Below are 22,845 nucleotides of genomic sequence, written 5' to 3' on the forward strand. Positions count from 1 at the left end.
CAAATACCATCACATTGGAGATTAGGATTCCAATATAGGAATGTTAGGGGAGCATAAACATTCAGTCTATAGCAGAGCAAGATTTTCACACTGCTTCTTCCCCTTACCTCCCTGAGTTTCACCTTTAAAATGGGTATCTACCATGGGGCATTTGTGAAAATTAAATGAGCTAATTATGTAAAAGGGATAACCCACTGCTGGCCCATAGCAGGTCTTTTAAAAATTGCTAGTCACTTCCTTCCCTGAAGACTAATTTAGTCTCTATGGATCCCACCTTCTCCAGCTGTGAAGATAAATCTCTGCACACCAGAATTAGACCTTGTGTACTTTCAAACTGGTTTCATGGCTATCTTTTGCCTTTCCAGCCAGATTTAAGATTCTTGAGGCTAGGTACCATTTGTCTACTTAGAGCTTCCTCAACTCTTCTACAGATGCTTTACAAATATTAGGGTTTTTGTTTGTTTTTTATTATAAGCACCATGTTGTACAATAAATCTCTTGAATTTATTCTTCCTGTCTAACTTAAAGTTTGTACCACTTGAACAAATTATTCCCATCCCCCAAATGCTAGTTTTATTACTGTTATCTATTTCCAAATACATAAAGATTCACATTAATTTCAATTTTGGTTTATTGTCTTCTAATCAAATGCACAGTAGCATTTGCTCAATTTTTTATGGAAACCTAAAATACACTGCTGCATTTGAAAATCTCATGGCCCAGGTGCATGATAACAAAGTTTTAATAATATATGATACAGAAATACTTAAATTATTCAAATGCAGCCAAACTTTTATTTTTAATGTGATTAACATTGTTGCAGACCAAGAAGGTAATTAGAATAATGGAATTTTAGGACTGGAAAAACTTCAGTTTTTCCCTTTTCTGTTTTCTTCTTGGCATTCTTGTTTTTCAACAAAACTTCGTGATAGTTAATTTAGTAAACCTGAAAGAATTTAGCAGGATTTAATACCTAATTTGATGTCTTTATATTCGGATTATTTTCCTTTGAAGGAAACTCCTAGTGCAAGATTTCTTCCTGTTGCCTGCCCAGCCCATGATATCTGTAAAGTGCTCTTCATTTCACTTTAAATCTCACTGTGTACTGCTGGGAGATGCAGCTCATGCTATAGTGCCGTTTTTTGGGCAAGGAATGAATGCGGTAAGTTCTTTTTCCCTAGGTAAGTCCCTCAAATACTTCTGGGTCAGTCTCAGCTAACAAGTCTTACGTAAAAAATATGTCTAAGACTATCCCCACATAATCCCTGAAAGCACAATCAATTCAGCAATCATACCAGCTGTGTAGCTAGATTGATCACTCTAATCAGAATTTGGTTTAATCAATCCAGTAATCCATAGTAGAAAAAAGCAGAAAGCATAGCGCACTCATCCCTTGGTATCACCAAGGGATCAGCTCCAGGACCCCTGTGGATACAAAAATCCATGGATGCTCATGTCCCTGTTGTAAAATGGCATAGTTTTTGTATATAACCTACAGAGAATCTCCCGTATCCATTTTTACATCTAATTTTTTAAAATTTTTTAATTATTATGGATATATACTAGTTTTATATATTTATGTGATACATGCAATATTTTGATTCAGGAATACAATGTATATGACCATATCAGGGTAATTAGGGTATCTGTCACCTCAAGCATTTATCATTTCTTTGTATTAGAAACACCCCAAATTCCTCTCTTTTAGTGATTTTAAAATATATAATAAATTATTGTTAACCACATTCACCCTATTGTGATGCCAAATACTAGATCTTATTCATTCTATCTAACTATTTTTGTATCCATTAACTATCTCCACTTTACACTTCCACCCTACTACCATTCCCAGTCTCTGGGGAGCATCATTCTATCTCCATAAGTTTAATTTTTATAGCTCCCTCATATGAGTAAAAAAGAATGTGATAATTTTCTTTATGTGCCTGGTTTATTTCACTAACGTCTTCTGGTTCCATCCATGTTGTTGCAAATGATGGCATTTCATTCTTTTTTTATAGCTGAATAATATTCCATTGTGAATATGTACTACATTTTCCTTATCCATTCATCCATTGATGGACACTTAGGTTGATTCCATATCTTTGCTATTGTGAATAGTGCTGCAATAAACATGGGAGTGCAGATATCTCTTCAATATACTGATGTTCTTTCTTTTTGCATATTTACCCAGCAGTGGGATTGCTGCCATATATGGCAGTTTTATTTTTAGTTTGTTGAGGAACCTCCATGCTGTTTTCCATAGTGGTTGTACTAATTTATACTCCCACCAAACGAGAGTTCCCCTCTGTCCACATTCTCACCAGCATTCGTTATCACTTGTCTTTCAGATCAAAGCCATTATAACTGAAGTGAGATAATATCATTGTATATTTGATTTGCATTTCTCTGATAATTAGTGAAGTTTAGCAATTTTTCATATACCCACTGGCCATTTGTATGTCTTCTTTTGAGAAATGCCTACTCAGATATTATTTTTATTATTTTATTATTTTAATAATCAGGTATTATCTTCTTTGAGAAATGCCGACTCAGATATTATCAATTTTAAAACATCCATTTTTAAATTGGATTATTCGTTATCTTCTGACTGAGTTTGAGCTTCTTATATATTCTGATTATTAATCCCTTGTCAGATGGGTAGTTTGCAAATATTTTACTTTGTTCTGTGGGTTGTCTCTTCACTTTGTTAATTGTTTCTTTTGCTTTGCAGAAACTTTTTTTTAGCTTGATATGATCCCATTTGTCCTATTTATTTCTGAGTTCTCTATTCTGTTCCAAAGGTCTATGTGTCTGTTTTTTGCTTTGGCTGCCTGTGTTTTTGAGGTCTTACTTAGAAAATTTTTGCCCAGACCACTGTCTTGGACTGTTTCTTCAATGTTTTCCTCTGCTAGTTTCATAGTTTCCACTCTTAGATTTGTCTTTAATCCACTTTCATTTTATTTTTGTATATGGTGAAAGATAGTGGTCTAGTTTCATTCTTCAGCATATGGATATCTAGTTTTCCCAGCACCATTTATTGAAGAGACTGTCTTTTCCCCAATGTGTATGTTCTTGGCACCTTTGCTAAAATTGAGTCAATGCTAAAATTGAATGTGGATATATTACTGGGTTCTCTATTCTGTTCCATTGGTCAATGTGTCTGTCTCTATGCCCGTACCATGATGTTTTGGTTACTTTAGTTTTGTAGTATAATTTGAAGTCAGGTAATGTGATGCCTCCAGTTTTGTTCTTTTTGCTCAGGATGGCTTTGGCTATTCTGTGTCTTTGGTGATTTCATATACATTTTAGGATTATTCTTTCTATTTCTGTGAAGAATGACACTGGTATTTTTATAGGTATTGCATTAAGTCTGTAGATTGCCTTGGGTAATATGGACATTTTAACAATATTGATCCTTCTAATCCATGAGCATGGAATATCTTTCCTTTTTTTGTGTCCTCTTCAATTTCTTTCATCAACGTTTTATAGTTTTCATTGTAGAGATCTTTCACTTCTCTGGTTAATTCCCAGATATCTTACTTTATTTGTAATTATTGTAAATGAGATTACCTTCCTGGTTTCTTTTTCAGATTGTTTACTCTTGGCATATAGAATTGCTATTTATTTTTGTATGTTGATTTTGTATCCTGTAACTTTACTAAATTTGTTTATCAGTTCTAATAGTGTTTTTGGTGGAGTCTTTAGGTTTTTGTAAAACATAAGGTCATATTTTCTGCAAACTAGGATAATTTGACTTCTTCCTTTCCAATTTGGATGTTCTTTATTTCTTTCTCTTGTCTAAATGCTCTGGCTAGGACTTCCAGTACTACATTGCATAAAAATGGTGAAAATGGTTGTTCTTGTCTTGTTCCATATTTTAGAGGAAAGGAAAGATTTTCAGTTTTTCCTCATTTTGTATGATACTAGCTGTGGTGTTGTCATATACAGCTTTTATCATGTTGAGATATATTCCTTCTATACCCAGTTTTTTGAGAATTTTTATCATGAAGGGATGTTGAATTCTACAGAATGCTTTTTCAGCATCAATTGAAATGATCATATGGTTTTTGTCTTTCATTCTGTTGATATGAGGTATCACTTTTATTGATTTGTATTTGTTGAACCATCCTTGCTACCCTGGGATGAATCCTGCTTAATCATAATGACTGATTTTTAATGTGTTATTGAATTTGGTTTGCTTGCATTTTGTTGATAATCTTTGCATCTATGTTTATCAGAGATATTGGCATGCAGTTTCCTTTTTTTGTTACGTCTTTGTCTAGTTTTGGTATTATGGTAAGGCTGGCCTCTTAGAATTAGTTTGGAAGTATTCCTCCTCAATGTTTTGGAATAATTTGAGTAGGATTTATATTAGTTCCTTTTTTTTTTTTTTTTTTTTTGAGATGGAGTCTCGCTCTGTTGCCAGGCTGGAGTGCAGTGGTGCAATCTCTGCCGACTGCAACCTCCACCTCCCGGGTTTAAGCGATTTTCCTGCCACAGCCTCCCCAGTAGCTGGGACTACAGGCACGTGCCACTATGCCCAGCTTATTTTTGGATTTTTAGTAGAGATGTGGTTTCACCATGTTGGCCAGGATGGTCTCGATCACTTGACCTTGTGATCTGCCCACCTCAGCCTTCCAAAGTGCTGAGATTACAGGCATGAGCCACCACGCCCGGGCAATATTAGTTCCTTTTTAAATGTTTTGTAGAATTCAGCAATGAACCCATCAGGTCCTGGGCTTTTCTTTGATGGGAAACTTTTTGTTACTGCTTCTATCTTGTTACTTGTTAATGGTGGAATTTCTTTATGATTCAATCTTGGTAAGTTGGTATGTGTCTAGGACTTTATTCATTTCTTCTAGATTTTCAAATGTATTAGCATGTAGTTGCTCATAATAGTCTCTAATGATCCTTTGAGTTTCTGTGGTATCAGTGTCTCCATTTTGACCTCTGATTTTATTTATTTGAGTCTTCTCTCCCTTTTCTGTGTCTAGCTAAAGGTTTGTTGATTTTGTTTATTTTTTAAAAAACCAACTTTTTGTTTCATTGATCTTTTGTATTATATTTTAGCCTCAAGTTCATTTTTGCTCTGATCTTTATTATTTTTTAAAGAAACTTTAAAAAATTCCTATTGAGATTATTTTCTTTTTAAATTAATGTATATATTTTATTTCAATAGCTTTTGGGGTACAAGTGTTTTTTGGTTACATTAACAAATTATATAGTGGTGAAGTCTGAGATTTTAGTGCATCTGTGACCTGAGTAGAGTACACTGTACCCAATATAGTTTTTTGTCACTCACTCCCCTCTCGTTCACCATTCTGAGTCACCAAAGCCCATTATATTACTCTGCGTTTCTGTACTCATAATTTAGCTCCCACTTATAAGTGAGAACATACAGTATTTGATTTTCTATTCTTGAGTCATTTCACTTAAAATATTGGGCTCCAGCTCCATCCAAGTTGCTGCAAAAATATTATTTCATACTTTTTTACGGTTGAGTAGTATTCCATGGTGTATATATACCACATTTTCTTTATGCACTCATTGGTCAAGGGACACTTAGGTTGGTTCCATATCTTTACAATAGAGAATTGTCCTACAATAAATATACACATGCAAGTGTCTTTTTTGGTATTGGTATTGTTTGTATTTTTGTACAGTTTGTATTTTTTGCTAATTTTTGTAGAGACGTTTTGCCCTGTTGCCCAGGCTGGTTTCGACCTGCTGTGCTCAAGGGATCTGCCCACCTTGGCCTCCCAAAGTCCTAGGATTACAGGCCTGAGCTACTGCGCCCAACCCATTTATTTATTTCTGTTTTAGTTGCATTTGCTTTAGGAGTCTTAGCCATGAATTCTTTGCCTAGGCCAATGTCCAGAGGAGTTTCTCCTAGGTTATATTCTAGAATTTTTATGGTTTCAGGTCTTAGGTTTAAGTCTTTTATCCATCTTGAGTTTATTTTTGTGTAAAGTGAGAGACAGGGATTCAGTTTCATTCTTCTACATGTGGCTATCCAGTTTTCCCAGCACCATTTATTAAATAGGGTGTCCTTGCCTCAATTTATGTTTTTGTATGCTTTATTGAAGATCAGTTGGTTGTACGTACTTGGCTTTATTTCTGGGTTATCTATTCTGTTCCATTGGTCTATCTGTCTACTTGTATATCAATACCATCCTATTTTAGTAACTATAGCCTTGTAGTATAATTTAAGGTCCAGTAATGTGATGCCTCCAGATTTGTTCTTTTTGCTATTTGGGCTCATTTTTTGTCCCCTATGAGCCTTAGAATTGTTTTTGTTTTTTTCTAATTCTGTGAAAAGCGATGTTGGTATTTTGATAGGAATTACATTGAATCTGTATATTGCTTTTGGGTAGTATGGTCATATTAACAATATTGTATCTTCCAATCCATGAACTTGGAATGGGTTTCCATTTGTTTGTGTCATCTATGATTTCTTTCAGCAGTGTTTTGTAGCTCTCTTTTTAGGGATCTTTCACCTCCTTGGTTAAGTATATTCCTAGGTATTTTATTTTATTTTGCAGCTGTGATAAAAGGGAGTAAGCTCTTCATTTGATTCTCAGTTTGGTTGTTGTCAGTGTATAGCAACGCTACTGATTTTTGTACATTGATTTTATAACCTGAGTCTTTAATGAATTCATTTATAAAATCTGGGAGTCTTTTGAATGAGTCTTTAGGGTTTTCTAAGTATACAAACATATCATCAGCAAACATTGATCTTTGGACTTCCTTTTTGTCAATTTGGATGTCCTTCATTTCCTTCTCCTGCCTGATTACTTTCTCTAGGACTTCCAGAACTATGTTGAATAAAAGTGATGAAAATGGGCATCCTTGCCTTGTTTCAGTTCTGAAGGGGAATTCTTCAGATTTTCCCCATTCAGTATGATGTTGGCTGTGGATTCATCATATATGGCTTTTATTATTTTGAGGTTAGTCCCTTCTATGCCTAGTTTGTTGAAGGTTTTCATCATAAAGTGATTCTGGATTTTATAGAATGCTTTTTCTGCAACTGTAGAGATGATCATATGGTTTTTTTTTTAATTCTGTTTATGTGATGTATCACATTTATTGACTTACATATGTTAAACCATTCCTGTATCCCTAGGATGAAATCCACTTGAACATAGTGTATTATCTTTTTGATGTGCTGTTGGATTTGGTTAGCTAGTATGTTGCTGAGGATTTTGCACTGATGTTCATCAGGGATGTTTGTTGGTAGTTTTCTTTCTTTGTTATGTCTTCTCCTTGTTTTGGTATCAGGATGATACTGGCTTCATAGAATGAGTTAGGGAGAATTCCCTCTGTCTCAATCTTTTGGAATAGTTTCAGTAGGATTGGCACCAATTCTTTGAATGTCTGGTAAAATGCAACTGTGAGTCCTTCTGGTCCTGGGCTTTTATTTTTTGTTGACAATTGTTTCGATTACTGATTTAATCTCACTGCTTGTTATTGGTCCATTCAAGGTTTCTATTTCTTCCTTATTTAATCTAGAAGTTTTGTACATGTCTAGAAATTTATCCATTTCCTCTAGGTTTTCCAGTATGTATGCAAAAAGGTGTTCCTAGTAGTCTCAAAAGATCTTTTGTATTTTTGTGGTGTCCATTGTAATGTCTCCAGTTTCATTTCTAATTGAGCTTGTTTGAATCTTCTCTTATATTTTCTTGGTTAAACTAGCTAATGATCTATTGATTTTGATTGTCTTTTCAAAGAATCAACTTTTTGTCTTGTTGATCTTTTGTATTTTTTGTTTCAAATTCATTTAGTTCTCCTCCGATCTTTGTTTATTTCTTTTCTTCTGCTGACTTTGGGTTTAGTTTGTTCTTGTGTCTCTAGTTCCTTGAGGTGTCACATGATGTTGTCAATTTGTGATGTTTTTGAACTTTTTGATGTAGGCATTTAATGCTATAAACTTTCCTTTTAGGATTGTTTTTGCTGTAACCCAGAGGTTTTGATATGTTGTGTCACTATTATCATTCATTTCAAAGGATTTTGAAATTTCCATCTTGATTTCATTGTTAACCCCAAAATCATTCAAGAGAAGATTGTTTAATTTCCATGTATTTGTATAGTTTAGAGATTTCCTTTTGGAATTAATCTTGAGTTTAATTTTCCACTGTGGGCTGAGAAGATAACTGGATATGATTTTGATGTTTTAAAATTTATTGAGACTTGTTTTATGACCTACCATATGGTTTATCTTGAAGAATGTTCCATGTGCTGATGAGAAGAATGTACATTCTGCAGTTCTTGGATAGAATGTTCTGTAAATATCTGTTAGATCTATATTTTCTAGAATGTGGTTAATTCCATTGACAGCACTAGACAGATCATTGAGACTTCTGTCTCAATGGAGTGTTAAAGTCCCCACTATTACTGTGTTGCTTTCTACCTAATTTCTTAGATTTGGTACTAATTGTTTTATAAATTTAAGAGCTCCAGTGTTAGGTGCCTATAAGTTTAGGATTGTAATATCTACTTGTGGGATCAATCCTTTTATCATTTTGTAATGGCCTTCTTTGTCTTTTTTTTTTTTTAACTGTTGTTTTAAAGTCTGTTTTATCTGATATAATAGCTACCCCTGCTTGCTTTCAGTTTCCATTTGCATGGAGTATCTTTTTACACCCCTCTACCTTGAGTTTGTGTGAGTCCTATGTGTTAGGTGAGTCTCTTGAAGACAGCAGACACTTGGTTTCTGATGTTTTTATCCATTCTGACAATCTATATTTTTTAAGAGGAGCATTTCGACAATTTACGTTCAGCATTAGTATTGAGATGTGAGGTGCTGTTTCAGTCATCATGTTAATTGTTACCTAGATACTTTGTTTTCTTCATTGTGTTATGTTTTGTAGGCTCTGTGAGTTTTACATTTTCAAGAGTTTCTATACTTGTGCATATCAACCTTTTGTTTCAAGATTTAGAGCTCCTTTTAGCATTTCTTGTAAGGCTCATTAGGTAGTAAAAAATTCCCTCAGCATTTGTCTGAAAATGCCTTTATCTCTCCTTCATTTATGAAACTAAGTTTTGCTGGATATAAAATTCTTGGGTGACAGTTATTCTGTTTAAGGAGGCTGAAGACAGGACCCCAGTCCTTGCTGACTTGTAAGATTTCTGCTGAGAAGTCTGCATTAGTTTTCCTTTATAAGTTACCTGATGCTTTTGTCTCACTGCTCTTAGAATTATTTCCTTCATGTTGACTTTAGATAGCTTGATAACATACACCTTGGTGATGTTCTTTTTGTAATGAATCTCCCAGGACTTCTTTGAGCTTCTTGTATTTGCATATCTCAATCTGTAGCAGGGTCAGAAAAGTATTCCCTCAAATTAGTTTCCAAACTTTTTACTTTCTTTTCTCCCTCAGGAACATCAATTATTCTTAGATTTGGCCATTTTACATAATCCCATATTTCTTTGAGGCTTTGTTCATTTCTTTTGATTATATTTTCTTTATTTTGTCTGATTGGGTTAATTCAAAAGCCTTGTCTTTGAGCTCTGAAATTCTTTCTTCTGCTTTCTCTAGCCTGTTGTTAAAATGTTCCACTGCATTTTGTAATTCCTTAAATGTGTCTTCCATTTCTAGAAATTCTGATTGTTTTTTCTGTAAAATATCTATCTCTTTAGGAAATTTTTCATTCATATTCTGAATGTTTTAAATTTCTTCATGTTGTTTTTCACCTTTCTCTGGCATGTTCTTGAGTAACTTAATAATGTTTTGACATCTTTATCTGGTATTTCAAAGATTTCATCTTGGTATGGATCCATTGCTGGAAAGCCAGTGTGATCTTTTGGGGTTGTTATAGAACCCTGTTTTGTCATATTACCGGAATTATTTTTCTGGTTCCTTCTAATTTGGGTAGGCTATTTCTTCTAATTATTTTTAAATTTATTTTTGATTCAACTGTGTTTTTCTTTAATTTCCTTTTTACCCTGTTAAGGATGTGATTTTAATGTTTATAGTTTATTGTAGCCTAATTCGGCTCTTGGTGCTTTCAGAGTTGAAGACTCTGTGGGTTCCTTGGTTATGGAGAGTCTTTGTTTGATGACTGGCTTTCTCAGATGCTGGTTGTAGTAGCAATGTGCTTGGTGTGTGTACAAGTTCACGGTCTCCTATGGGGTTGGAATGGTAGAGATATTTTGAGGCTCATCTCGTTTCCCATGATGTGCACTTTTTTATTTATTTATTTTTTCCCCAGTATTTTATTTACTGAGTTGAATAGCTCAGGTTTCAGGCCAGTAGAGAAGGTATCCCTGGGCAGAAACTATTTATGGCTAAAGCAGGTGGGTAAATGCAATATGAAATGTTGGTCAGAGGCCCCAGCCTTGACAGAGGTGGTTGGGGGAGCTCTCAGTGAAACACACTGAAGTCTTTTCAGGGGAAACGGTGGGAGCCACCTCTCCCCTTTTCCTTCTGGCCTCCCCTGCCAGGCCAACTGGAAAGTGATCCACCTCCCAGATACATCCCTGACCCAGTGTTCTGGCTATTCAGATCAGACAGGCACCTCTTTCCATCTGCAGGAATGTTGATGTTCCAAGTAGAGAGGAGTTGTGACTCTCCCTCTTGTGCAAGCCTGAGCCTGAGGGGTGCTCCCTCATGTGGGGCGGCAGTCACCCTGAAGTGTTCCTGAATGGCTGTCTATAGGCCACCCTTACCAAACTTCCATGGGAGAAGCCCCATTCCCACTGTGTTTGCAGTGGTGGATGAGGAGGAAAACAAGTCCTCTTCTCCAAGACTCTTCATGAGCACCAGCGCTGCTTGACTATTGGGTTAGAACTGCAGACTTTTCTTGCTGAGCCCAGCACTGCAAACATGACTCTGATGAAATAAACTTCCCACCAGCAGAAAGATGTGGGACTCAAGTCCTGCTCTCCAGATTCTTTTGTCCCATGGCATGTTTCATTGATGTGGTACACTCCTCTTTCCCCTGGGAATAGGAGTCCCTGAGAGCTAGACTACTGTGAATGCTGTTGCTCCTCTAGGTCCAGCAACACAGTGGAGCTGCCACACTTGAGGCCACTGTGGGGAATGTCTGCAAGGGATCCAGTAATGTGACCTGCCCTTAAGTCTTCCAGCAGTGGGTACCAGTACCAGCTCAGATGGAGGGGAGTGACATAGACTCTGTGATTCCTTGGCTATAAATAGGCTTAGTGTGTTGGCTATTTCAAATGCTGGTTGTAGGAGTAATTAACTGGTTATGTGGACAGACTTAGAACTTCCTGGTTAGCCAGGGTGGTGTAGGTAATGGTGTGTATTAATCTGTTTTCATGCTGCTGATAAAGACATACCCAAGATTGGGTAATTTATAAAGAAAGAGAGGTTTGATGGATGCACAGTTTCATGTGGCTAGGGAGGCCTCACAATTATGGTGGAAGGTGAAAGGCCCTTCTCACATGGTAGCAGACAAGAGAAGAGTGAGAGCCAAGTGAAAGGGTTTTCCCTTATAAAACCATCAGATCTCATGAGACTTATTCACTACCACGAGAATTGTATGAGGGAAATTGCCCCCATGATTCAATTATGTCCCACCAGGTCCCTCCCACAACACATGGGAATTATGGGAGATACAATTCAAGATGAGATTTGGGTGGGGACACAGCCAAACCATATCACAGTGATAGCTGAGGTCATACACAAATTTTCTCCTTCCTGAGTGCAGGTTATTCTACCTGCAGATGCTGTCTGTAATGGACTGTGTCAGTTGGCTTCTGCCAGGTGGTTGTACTTGCAAAAGAGCACCAGGTTTGGTGGTAGCAGTGGGATTTCTGCTTGCCTTATGTTACCTAGGGGAGGTACTCTGGTTTCTTACGTGATGGGCAGGGTTATAAAGCTCCCAAAAGTTTCTGTCTTTTGTGTTAAGCTACCAGGGTAGGTGGAGGGGTGAAGCCAGGTCAGAGTTGTGCTGGGCAGGTCCATGCAAGCAGCATTCCCTGTGGGGGCCAGGAGACAGTTTTCTGGCCACTAAGGTAACGCTTCAGGGATGAGGACAACTGCCTCTGCTTCACTGAAGAGTTTGCCCAGCAATTAGGGAGTAGCAGGCGGCAGTAAGCTCCACCCAGCTTCCATGCACTTGGCAAGGCAGGTCTTACACCCACAGTGTTCTGCTAGCAACAGCTAGCTAAGCTCCAGGAAGTCTACACTCAAAACTGTCCTAGGCCATAAGCCTTCTCCTCAGAGACAGCAACTGGTGACTTTCAGGCCACTCCCCTCCCAGTCCACCCACAAATCCAGGGCACCCAGCTTCTGCACTCGTGGCTGTAGCACACTTCCCATTCACCTCCCAGTTCTGGCCAAGAGAGTTCAACCCTGCTCGAGATTATATCACAGATTTTAGTTGGGAGCTTCTCTCAACCTGTGACTGCTGCCTGAGTTAGCTTGCAGACTTCCATGAGGTTCCCAGTAATGTAGAATCAGGAATAACCTCCCTTGGTTTGTACTGGAGACCGGGAATGTCCAAAAGTCTCTTCCAGCTGCTGCTCCTGCTTTTATATTTCCCACTGCTCACTAAATCAGTTCCAGTGCTTGGTAGGGTTAACGCCTTCCCCCATGGACTGGATTGCCAGGTTCCCCAGTGGGGATTTATATCCTGGAGGCAGGCTCTCACCCTCTCACACTTTGAGGACTTAACAATTTTTCACATGGCTTATAGTATAGGTTGCAGCAGCCTATCTCTTCTTTTAAAGGGTCTTATGGTTTCCTTCCGTTTTCCTGTTAAGTTCCTGTGTTGCCTCCTGGAAAAAAGTTCACAGTGTGTATCTCTACATAGTCTCTACATATATCTCTACATATCTCTACACCACATTTTATCTTCCCAAGTGGGAGAGGCATGCTAACATTGCCTCCAATTCACTGTCTTAGGGGGAAAGATTTTTTCTTTCTTCAACTAATTTTGGATTCAGTTTGCTCTTGCTTTTATAGCTCTTTAGGATACAATTGTTAGGTTGTTTATTTGAAGTTTTTCTACTTTTTTGATGTAGGTATTTATTGCTATACACTTCAACTTTAGTACTGCTTTGGCTGTGTCCCACAGGTTTTGGTATGTTCTGTTTCCATTTTCATTTGTTTCAAGAAATCTTTAAATTCCCTTATTGGTCAATTTCTTCATTGACCCAGTGGTCATTCAGGAGCATATTGTTTAATTTCCATGTGTTTGTATAATTTACAAAGTTTCTCTTGTTATTTATTTCTAGTTTCATCTCACTGTGGTCAGAAAAGATACTTGATGTGATTTCAATTTTTAAAAATTTTTTGAGATTTTTTTTGTGACCTAACATACAACCTATCTTTGAGGATGTTTCATGTGCTAAGGAAAAGAACATGTATTCTGCCTTTTTTGGATAATATGTTCTGTAAATACATATTAGGTCCATTTCTTACATACTTTTTCTTTATTTTATGTCTTGATGATCTGTCCAAAGGTGAAACTGGGGTGTTAAGTACCCAGCTATTATTGTATTGGGGTCTATCACTGTCTTTAGTTCTAATAATATTTGCTTTCTATATCTGGGTGCTCCTGTGTTGGATGCATAGATATTTACTATTATATTCTCTTACCAAATTGACCTTTTTGTCATTATATAATGAACTCATTTGTTTGTCTTTAGAGTTTTTGTCTTGAAATCCATTTTGTCTCATATAAGTATAGCAACTCCTGCTCTTTTATGATTTCCATTTGCTTGGAATATCTTTTTCCATCCTTTTATTTTCAGTCGATGTGTGTCTTTATAGGTGATGTGAATTTCTTGTAGGCAGCATATAGTTGAGTCTTATCTTTTTATACATCCAACTGCTCTATGTATTTTTATTAGGGAATTTATTCCATTTAGTTTCAGTATTACTAATGATAGGTATGGACTTACTGCTGCCATACAGTTACTTCTTTTCTGGTTGTTTTGTTGGTCCTCTTCTTCTTTCTTCCTTCTTGTTTTCCTTTGTGTAAAAGTGATATTCTCTGGTAGTATGTTTTAAGTTTTTGCTTATTATTTTTTGTGTACCTATCATAGGTTTTTGTTTTGTGGTTACCATGAGGCTTGCAAATAACATCTTACAACCAAGTATTTTAAACTGATGACAACTTAACCCGGATTACAAAGAAAAAGAAAGAAAGAAGAAAAAAAGAGAAAAGAAAAGAAAAGACAAACAAGCAAAGAGAAAACTAAACAACTCTACACTTTAACTCCATCCCCCTGGCATTTTGACATTTTGTTGTCTCTATATATATCTTTTTATACTGTCTCTAAAAAGTTCTTGTAATTATTATTTTTGATAAATGTGTCTTTTGGTCCTTCTACTAAAGATATGTACATACTGCAGTTACAGTGTTAATAGTATACTGTATTTGTCTGTATACTTACTATTACCAGTGAATTAGATACCTTCAGGTGATTTTTTTTCTCATTTGTTAACATCCTTTTCTTTCATATTGAAGATCTCCCTTGAGTATTTCTTGTAAGACGGATCTGGTGTTGATGAAATCTCTCAGGTTTTGTTTGTCTGTGAACATATTTCTCCTTCATGTTTGTAGAATAATTTTGCTGCATACAATATTCTAAATTGGAAGCTTTTATTCCTTTAGCACTTTGAATATGCCAATCCATTCTCTTTTGTCCTAAAGGTTTCTGCTGCAAAGTCTGCTGCCAGACATATTGGAGCTCCTTTTATGTTATTTGCTTATTTTTACTTGTTGCTTTCAGGATCCTTTCTTTATCCTTGACCTTTGAGAGTTCCATTAATATATGCTTTGATGTAGCCTTATTTGGCTTGAATCTGTTTAGTGTTTTATGATCTTCTTGTAGCTGGATATTCATATCTTTCTCTAGGTTTGGGAAGTTTTCATTATTATTTCTTTGAATAAACTTTCTACCCTTATGTCTCTCTCTATATATGTTCTCTTTAAGGCCAACAACTATTAGATTTGCCCTTGTCAGGCTATTTCCTGGATCTTATATGTATGCTTAATTCTTTTTTATTCTTATTGTTTCCCTCTGACTGTATTTTTATATAGCCTGTCTTCCAGCTCACTAATTTTTTCTTCTGTTTGATCAATTCTGCTGTTGAGAGACTCTGATGCATTTTTCAATTGAATTTTTCAGCTCCAAAATGTCTGCTTGATTTTTAAAAATTATTTCAATCTCTTTGTTAAATTTATCTGATACAATTCTGAATTCCTTCTCTGTATTATCTTGATGTTTGTTGAACTTCTGCAAGACGAGTATTTTGAATTCTCTATTTGAAAGGTCATATATCTTTGTCACTCCAGGATTGGTCACTGGTGCCTTATTTAGTTCGTTTGGTAAGGTCATGTTCCTTGGGTGTTCTTGATGCTTGTGGATGTTTGTTGATATCTGGGTGTTGAAGAATTAGGTGTCTATTTTGTCTATTTTGTCTTCACATTCTTGGCTTGTTTGTACCTGTCCTTCTTGAAATAGCTTTCCAGGTATTCCAAGGGGAATGAGTGTTGCGGTCTAAGTTTATGGTCACTGCAGCTGTATCAGTACTAGGAGGTGCCCTAAGCCCAGGAATGCTACAACTCTTGCCAAGTCCTAGAGGCACAATGGTGCTTCTAAATGAAGCATTGTCCTAAAGGGAGAATTCCTTGGGTTACTAGGCAAAGTATCTCAGTCTCTTCTCTTTTGTTCCTTGAACCACAAGGAGTTTTTCTCCCCATGCTAGGCTGCCTGGAGTTGGGGGAGGAGTGACACAAGCACTCCTGTGGCCACCACAGCTGGCACTGTGCTGGGTCATACCTGAAGCTAACACAGTACTGTGTCTTGCCTAATGCCCATGGTGACTACTGCCTGGCTACCACTGATGTTTATTCAAGGCCCAAGGGCTCTTTAGTTAGCAGGTGGTGAACCCTGCCAGGACTCAGTCATTGCCTTCAAGGCAGAAAATTCCCTTCTGCCCCAGGGTGGGTATAGAAATGCCATCCAGGAGCTAAGACCTGGAATCAGGGGCTTCAGGAAACTACTTGGTGCTTTATTTTATTGTGGCTTAGCTGGTACCTAACTAACTAGTAAGACAAAGACCTCTATACTTTTTCTTCTCCTTTCCCCAAGTGAAGGGAGTTTTTCCCCAAGCTGCACTGCCTGGAGTTGAAGAAGAGGGTCTCAGGTACTTAAAATCATCTATAGATTACTTATAATACATATACCTAATACAATATAAATGTCATGTATATAATTGTTATACTGTATTTTTATTTGTATTCTTTTTTGTTGCATTATTTTTATTGTTTTTTAAAAAATACTTCCAATCAAAACTTGACTGAGTCCATATATCCAGAACTTGGGTATATGTGGCTGACCATATAGTATTCTGTTCAGTTAGAAAAAATGTACCAATAGCTCAAAATTTGGAAACTTGGCTATCAGCAATTCAAGACTTAATTTTTTAAATATATTTTTTCTAGGCACTATGCATAAATATGTAACATTAGCCTCAAAGAAAGAAAATAATAAACATTTATCTCATTTACTTATTTATTTTTCTTTTTTTATTATACTTTAAGTTCTAGGGTACAGGTGCACAATGTGCAGGTTTGTTACATATGTATACATGGGCCATGTTGGTGTGCTGCACCCATTAACTAGTAATTTACATTAGGTATTTCTCCTAATGCTATCCCTCCCCCATCCCCCAACCCCATGACAGCCCCCGGTGTGTGATGTTCCCCTTCCTGTGTCCATGTGTTCTCATTGTTCAATTCCCACCTATGAGTGAGAACATGAGGTGTTTGGTTTTCTGTCCTTGCAACTCATCATCACTGGTCATCAGAGAAATGCAAATCAAAACCACAATGAGATACCATCTCACACCAGTTAGAAAGGTGATTGTTAAAAAGTCAGGAAACAACAGGTGCTGGAGAAGATGTGGAGAAATAGGAACACTTTCACACTGTTGGTGGGAGTGTAAACTAGTTCAACCATTGTGGAAGACAGTGTGGCGATTCCTCAAGGATCTCTTTCTTTTCTACTTTTTCTTTCCAAAGGAAAGCAAAACCTGATTGACAAGGTTGAGTAAAACTATGAGCTGATTAGATGTTGAACACTACTGCCTTCATGGAAATGTTACTATTTTGGCCAGAAAAAGAATTCAGAAAAGAAATAGCGTTTAAAAGTTGAACATTCATTTCAAGGAATCCTAATTTGTGTGTGTGTGTGCACTAATAGCTTCATAATCATTAATCATATATTATTTTGGTCATTGGCATATATTCCAAGTAAAAATAGCTTTTGAATCTAATCAATTATATTCTCCATGAAGCAGTGGTAAACATATTGTTTTATAAAAACATAAGACATTAACTGTAGCACAGTGGATAAGTGCCCAGGACCTGACATTAGAATACTTAGTTTTAAATCCTGGCTCCAGAATTTACTGCAAATATATTCTTGTGCAATTTACTTACCTTATCTTTACTTTCTTATCCATAAAACTGGAATTTTAGGCCAGGTGTGGTGGCTCACGCCTGTAATCCCAGCACTTTGGGAGACCGAGACAGGTGGATCACTTGAGGTCAGGAGGTTGAGGCCAGCCTGGTCAACATGGTGAAACCCCGTCTCTACTGAAAATACAAAAAAAATTAGCTAGGTGTGGTGGTGGGTTCCTGTAGTCCCAACTACTTGGGAGGCTAAGGCAGGAGAATCGCTTGAACCTGGCAGGTGGAGGTTGCAGTGAGCCGAGATTGTGCCACTGCACTCCTGCCTGGGTGACAGACCGAGACTGCATTTCAAAATTAATTAATTAATAATTAAATTAAATTAAATTGGAATTTTAATAATGTCTACCTCAGAGAGTTGTGAAGAGTAAATGAATTAACTTAAACAAAAGAATATAAAACTATTATCTCAGCCCCATATGGTATCTCTCACTTCTATAGTATTGAGACTATATAATTGATTTGACAAATAAATCTGCTTGTTTCAGATGTAATCTTTATAATTGATGTGAAAAATATTTTATTTAAAAAATATCTTAAGGCCGGGCACAGTGGCTCACGCTTGTAATCCCAGCACTTTGGGAGGCCAAGCCAGGCAGATCACTTGAGGTCAAGAGTTTGAGACCAGTCTGGCCAATGTGGTGAAATGCCATCTCTATAAAAATACAAAAATTAGCTGGGCGTGGTGGTGCACGCCTGTAATCCTGGCTACTTGGGAGGCTGAGGAAGGAGAATCATTTGAACCTAACAGGTGGAGATTGAAGTGAGCCGAGATTGTGCTGCACTCCAACCTGAACAACAGAGCAAGACTCCATCTAAAATAAAAAAAAAAGAACAAAAAAAAAAACCAAAAAGAAAAAAAATCTTTATACTACCTCTAAAGCTGTAGCTTGAATTCCTAGGAAACAGGAAACATTGTTTTCAATTCTCCATCCTCTCTGTATTTAGTATAGTACATTACTAATTTTGTGGACTTCTTAATATTGCTTTAATCTTGAGTTATAGGAACTAAATTAATAAGTAGTTTTATCCTATCATTAAATTGCTCTAAATATGAATCTTAAAGACTTGAATGAGTTTAAATATAATTCTAAAACTTATGGTAGAGCAATATAATGATTTCTTCTTCTCAAAGAAGTAATGGAATCTATCAAAATTAAAACAGTAATGTAAAATCTTGGTCGAATTTCAGATCACTGTATCATATATATGTAAATTGGACAAAGATAACACTGCCAAGCATGAAGTCTATGGTCTTTTTTTTTTTTTTTTTTTTTTTTTGAGACAGGGTCTCGCTCTGTCACCCAGGCTGGAGTGCAGTGGAGCGATCTCGGCTCACTGCAACCTCCATCTCCCAGGTTCAAGTGGTCCTCTCACCTCAGCCTCCCGAGTAGCTGGGACCACAGGCACACACCACCACATCCAGCTATTATTTTGTATTTTTAGTAGATATGGGGTCTCATCATGTTGCCCAGGCTGATCTCAAACTCCTGAGCTCAAGCGATCCGCTCACCTCGGCCTCCCAAAGTGCTGGGATTACAGGTGTGAGCCATCACGTCCAGGCCCGATGGTCATTTTTAACCATAATTCAATACCATGTGACAACTCAACTGCTATGTACTAGTTGAGAATAAACAGTGTATGAATTATCTTCACCAATGGAATATCTATTCAAAATCAATAATAAGGGTTTCTTTTTTATTATTTCTAGTTTCTTATTTCTCTTTTTTTTTCTTGTTTCAGGGCTTTGAAGACTGCTTGGTATTTGATGAGTTAATGGATAAATTCAGTAACGACCTTAGTAAGTAAGGTCAATTTCTCAACTGGACATGTACTAGCTCTTCTGACTAATTGTGGGCTTATTTCTGATCCTCAATGATCACAAACCTGTGATGTATAATGTATATTATCTCCCCAGGATTACATATTTTTCTACTAATAGTCTATGCCACCGTTTTCCCATAGCAACAACTAACACCCAGAAAAAGAAACATAGTTTCTTTTGAAGTTTCTATGTGGAGGTCCATGAAGTGATTCACTCAGAGATTAAAGCTCAGAGTACCCGTGCTTGGCAGAAATAGGCTGCTTTCTCTCCCTTTTCAGCCTAGGTAACACCCTCTGCCTGCGCCTCCTAGCAACAGTCCCAACGTTTTGGCACCAGGGACGGGTTTCACGGAAGACAGTGTTTCCACAGACAGGGGGTGGGGGGAGATGGTTTCAGGATGAAACTGTTCCTGCTCTGATCTTCAGGCGTTAGTTGGATTCTCATAAGGAGCGTGCAAGCTAGATGTCTCGCCTGTGCAGTTCACAATAGGGTTCACGCTCCTATGAGAAACTAATGCCACTGCTGATCTGACAGGAGGCGGAGCTTGGGCGGTAATGCCATCTCAACTGCCACTCACATCCTGCTGTGCGGCCCAGTTCCTAACAGGCCATGGACCGAGGGTTGGGGACAGTCACCCTACAACACATCCTCAGAAACACTTAGAAGCTCCAGTGTTTTTTGCCCTATCAAAGATTGCATCTAATACTTTTTTTTTTGAGATGGAGTCACTCCATCGCCCAGGCTGAAGTTCAGTGGCCTCAGTCTTGGCTCACTGCAACCTCCGCCTCCTCTCCTGCCTCAGCCTCCAGAGTAGCTGGGATTACAGGCATACACCACCACACCCAGCTAATTTTTGTATTTTTAGTAGAGACGGGGTTTCGTCATGTTGGCCAGGCTGGTCTCGAACTCCTGACCTCAAGTGATCCACCCACCTCTGCCTCCCAAAGTGCTGGGATTATAGGCGTGAGCCACCATGCCCGGCATAAATTCCTTTTTTTTTTTTCATTATTTTTCAGTTATCTCTGTCAAATACTGAGGAGCCAGAGGCATTTTGTTCCCGCCCTTCCTTCCTAGTCCTGATGTGATTGGTTTGCACATGACCATGGAGGTGGATGGAGGGTTTGTATATTACATATATAAAAGAAGGCACAAACAACAGCCTAAGAACTGGATAACCTTTTCCTACTTCCCAGCATCACGTGCTTTCAAAGGCCACCTCTGATTTTACACTTGTTTCAGGTAAAGGATAGACTAGAGAACTGGCCTTAAACTTACACCCAGTTTCAAGTCCTGACTTGCCAACTTATTAACTGTGTGATCTTGAGCAAATCACTTCATCTTTCTAAAGCCTCCGTTCTTTTTCATCTATAAAGTGGGGATGATACTCTCAACTTCAGAGTTGTGAACACTGAATAATTTCTATAAAGTTTTAAAAAGAAAAAAAAAGCCTACCGTAAAGTAAGTTCATAGTATATGTTTGCTGTGGTGTTTTAGAAAGTCCAAGAATACTGGTGCCTGGGTCTGAAGAGATCATAGAATTCCAGGACAAATTTTCTCATCTTTTTTTTCTTTTTTTTTTTTTTTTTTTTTTTTGGTTATTTCCCAGTCATCTCTCTCAGATGCTCAGGAGCCAGAGATATTTTGTTTCCTCCTTTCCTTGTGCTCGCGTGACTGGTTTACACATGACGTTGGAGGTTGATAGAGGGTTTATGCATAAGAACACACTGTCAACGCTGGTTTGGGGCACTAGAGAACAAAGATAAAGCAATAATATAGATTAATTTTGTTGTAATTTTTATTTAATCACAACAGGAAATGCTCTGTGTATTGTCAATAGTCATAGATTGTTGGTTATACAGAATGGTTATTTATAGTTTAAAAAAATTAGCGAGAGCATTGGTAGTGAACGTACCATTTAATTTGACCTGTGTAGAGTTCAGCACATTTTTATAGAAGGTTTTGGAAAGATGTATTATTTAACTTACAGGTTTGTGTCTTCCTGTGTTCTCAAGATTGAGAATCCCAGATGATCACGCGATTTCAGACCTATCCATGTACAATTACATAGAGGTGAGTGAGAAGGTTTGGCTTTATTCCATGAGATGGTTCACTGATATTCTAACAAGTGTTCTTTTCTTTTTCTTTGCTTCAGCCCCCATCTCATGCATGCTATATAAGAATACCTACAGATAAGAAAACACACACACACATAGCATTCCTTAGACTTGGGTGGATTGTGACTCTGGCCAGTGGCAATGACCAATACACATTATCTCTATCTACACTTTAAGGACGTTTAGGAGGTAACAAAACCTCTGATAATTCACATGCTTTTATCTTAGACATTTAGCAATATGTTACTTTAATGAAAATACAACTTTCAGATGTGTCAACATATTTAGAAAATCTAAGAAATGTTGAATGGCCTTTTCACTCATAACATTATAACTTGCATATTTAGAGTAGCATTGATTATCCTTTGGAAACTTATGCACTAAAAAAAAATGCATAATACCAAAAAGAAATTCATGTTCAGGAAGATTAGTACTTTGAAAAAAAAACATATTAATTCCATTTTGAACCAGTCACATGTAAAGCTCATGGTAAGTGATTGTGATTATAGTTTTAAAATAATAAAATGAAAGGATTTACAAGATAAATTTAAAGCAGAGTGACCAGCTATTTGCCATCTCTCCTGAAGACAGAAAGAAACTGGACTTCAGCTTGAGCAAAATTGCATCAGATGTGGTAGAGGATAACCTACAAGATATTGTAGGCTTTATTGATGTATCTTGTCTTCTCCTTTAAAAACGGGATGGCTACGACACAGTATCTGTCCTAAAAGAAAGAGTAGGTCCAGACAAACATAGCTTTAAACAATCTCTTTTTGCCGTAAGCAATATTACAAAACAACCAGGAAGCAACAGAAAATTAGACAAATCTTTGAGCTCACAGATTGCCTGCAGTTCTGGTTAAACAAACCCTCTGCTGAAATTGACTTCCTCTATTGAACCCTGAGCAAAATAAACTTCCCTAGCAGGTTTCGTGTAATTGCTGTACATTTTCGAGGCAACGTCCTATATGACCGACATTTACCAAAATGGATTGGGAATGACATTATGGAAACAAAAAATTATTTGACTACTTTGTGTTTGGCATTGCGATGAGTGGGAATGAAGAATAATACTAAGTCGCAGTGAGAAATAGCTGTATTTGTTCAAAAGCGTTCTTTAAGACTGTCATTATTGCAGATGCGAGCACATGTCAACTCAAGCTGGTTCATTTTTCAGAAGAACATGGAGAGATTTCTTCATGCGATTATGCCATCGACCTTTATCCCTCTCTATACAATGGTAAGGTCTGGACTGAAGACTTTTCCTCATTTTGATTTTCTGTTTAGCTGTTAAAGAATACACAAGAATACTTTTTAAACTTCCCTGCAGGTCACTTTTTCCAGAATAAGATACCATGAGGCTGTGCAGCGTTGGCATTGGCAAAAAAAGGTTGGAACAGTTACATTTTATTTATTTTTTAATGTGGTGTTTTGAAATGTCATAGTATTATGATTAT

The 22,845-nt window shown here is 37.1% G+C and overlaps 1 protein-coding gene across 2 annotated transcripts in view; it reads left to right on the forward strand.

Moving 5' to 3' along the window:
- KMO (kynurenine 3-monooxygenase) overlaps window positions 1–22,845 on the forward strand; it is a 63,265-nt gene that overhangs the window by 35,108 nt on the left and 5,312 nt on the right. Inside the window, exons 10-14 of one of the 2 annotated variants that reach the window (NM_003679.5) lie at window positions 1,015–1,162; window positions 19,194–19,251; window positions 21,263–21,345; window positions 22,527–22,628; window positions 22,719–22,778. In NM_003679.5, the coding sequence (NP_003670.2) occupies window positions 1,015–1,162; window positions 19,194–19,251; window positions 21,263–21,345; window positions 22,527–22,628; window positions 22,719–22,778 (451 nt within the window). The remainder of the gene's footprint in view (window positions 1–1,014; window positions 1,163–19,193; window positions 19,252–21,262; window positions 21,346–22,526; window positions 22,629–22,718; window positions 22,779–22,845) is intronic. The other variant, NM_001410944.1, reaches the window with a different exon arrangement.

This window comes from Homo sapiens, chromosome 1 (genome assembly GCF_000001405.40).
Source record: "Homo sapiens chromosome 1, GRCh38.p14 Primary Assembly".
NCBI classification, from domain to species: domain Eukaryota; kingdom Metazoa; phylum Chordata; class Mammalia; order Primates; family Hominidae; genus Homo; species Homo sapiens.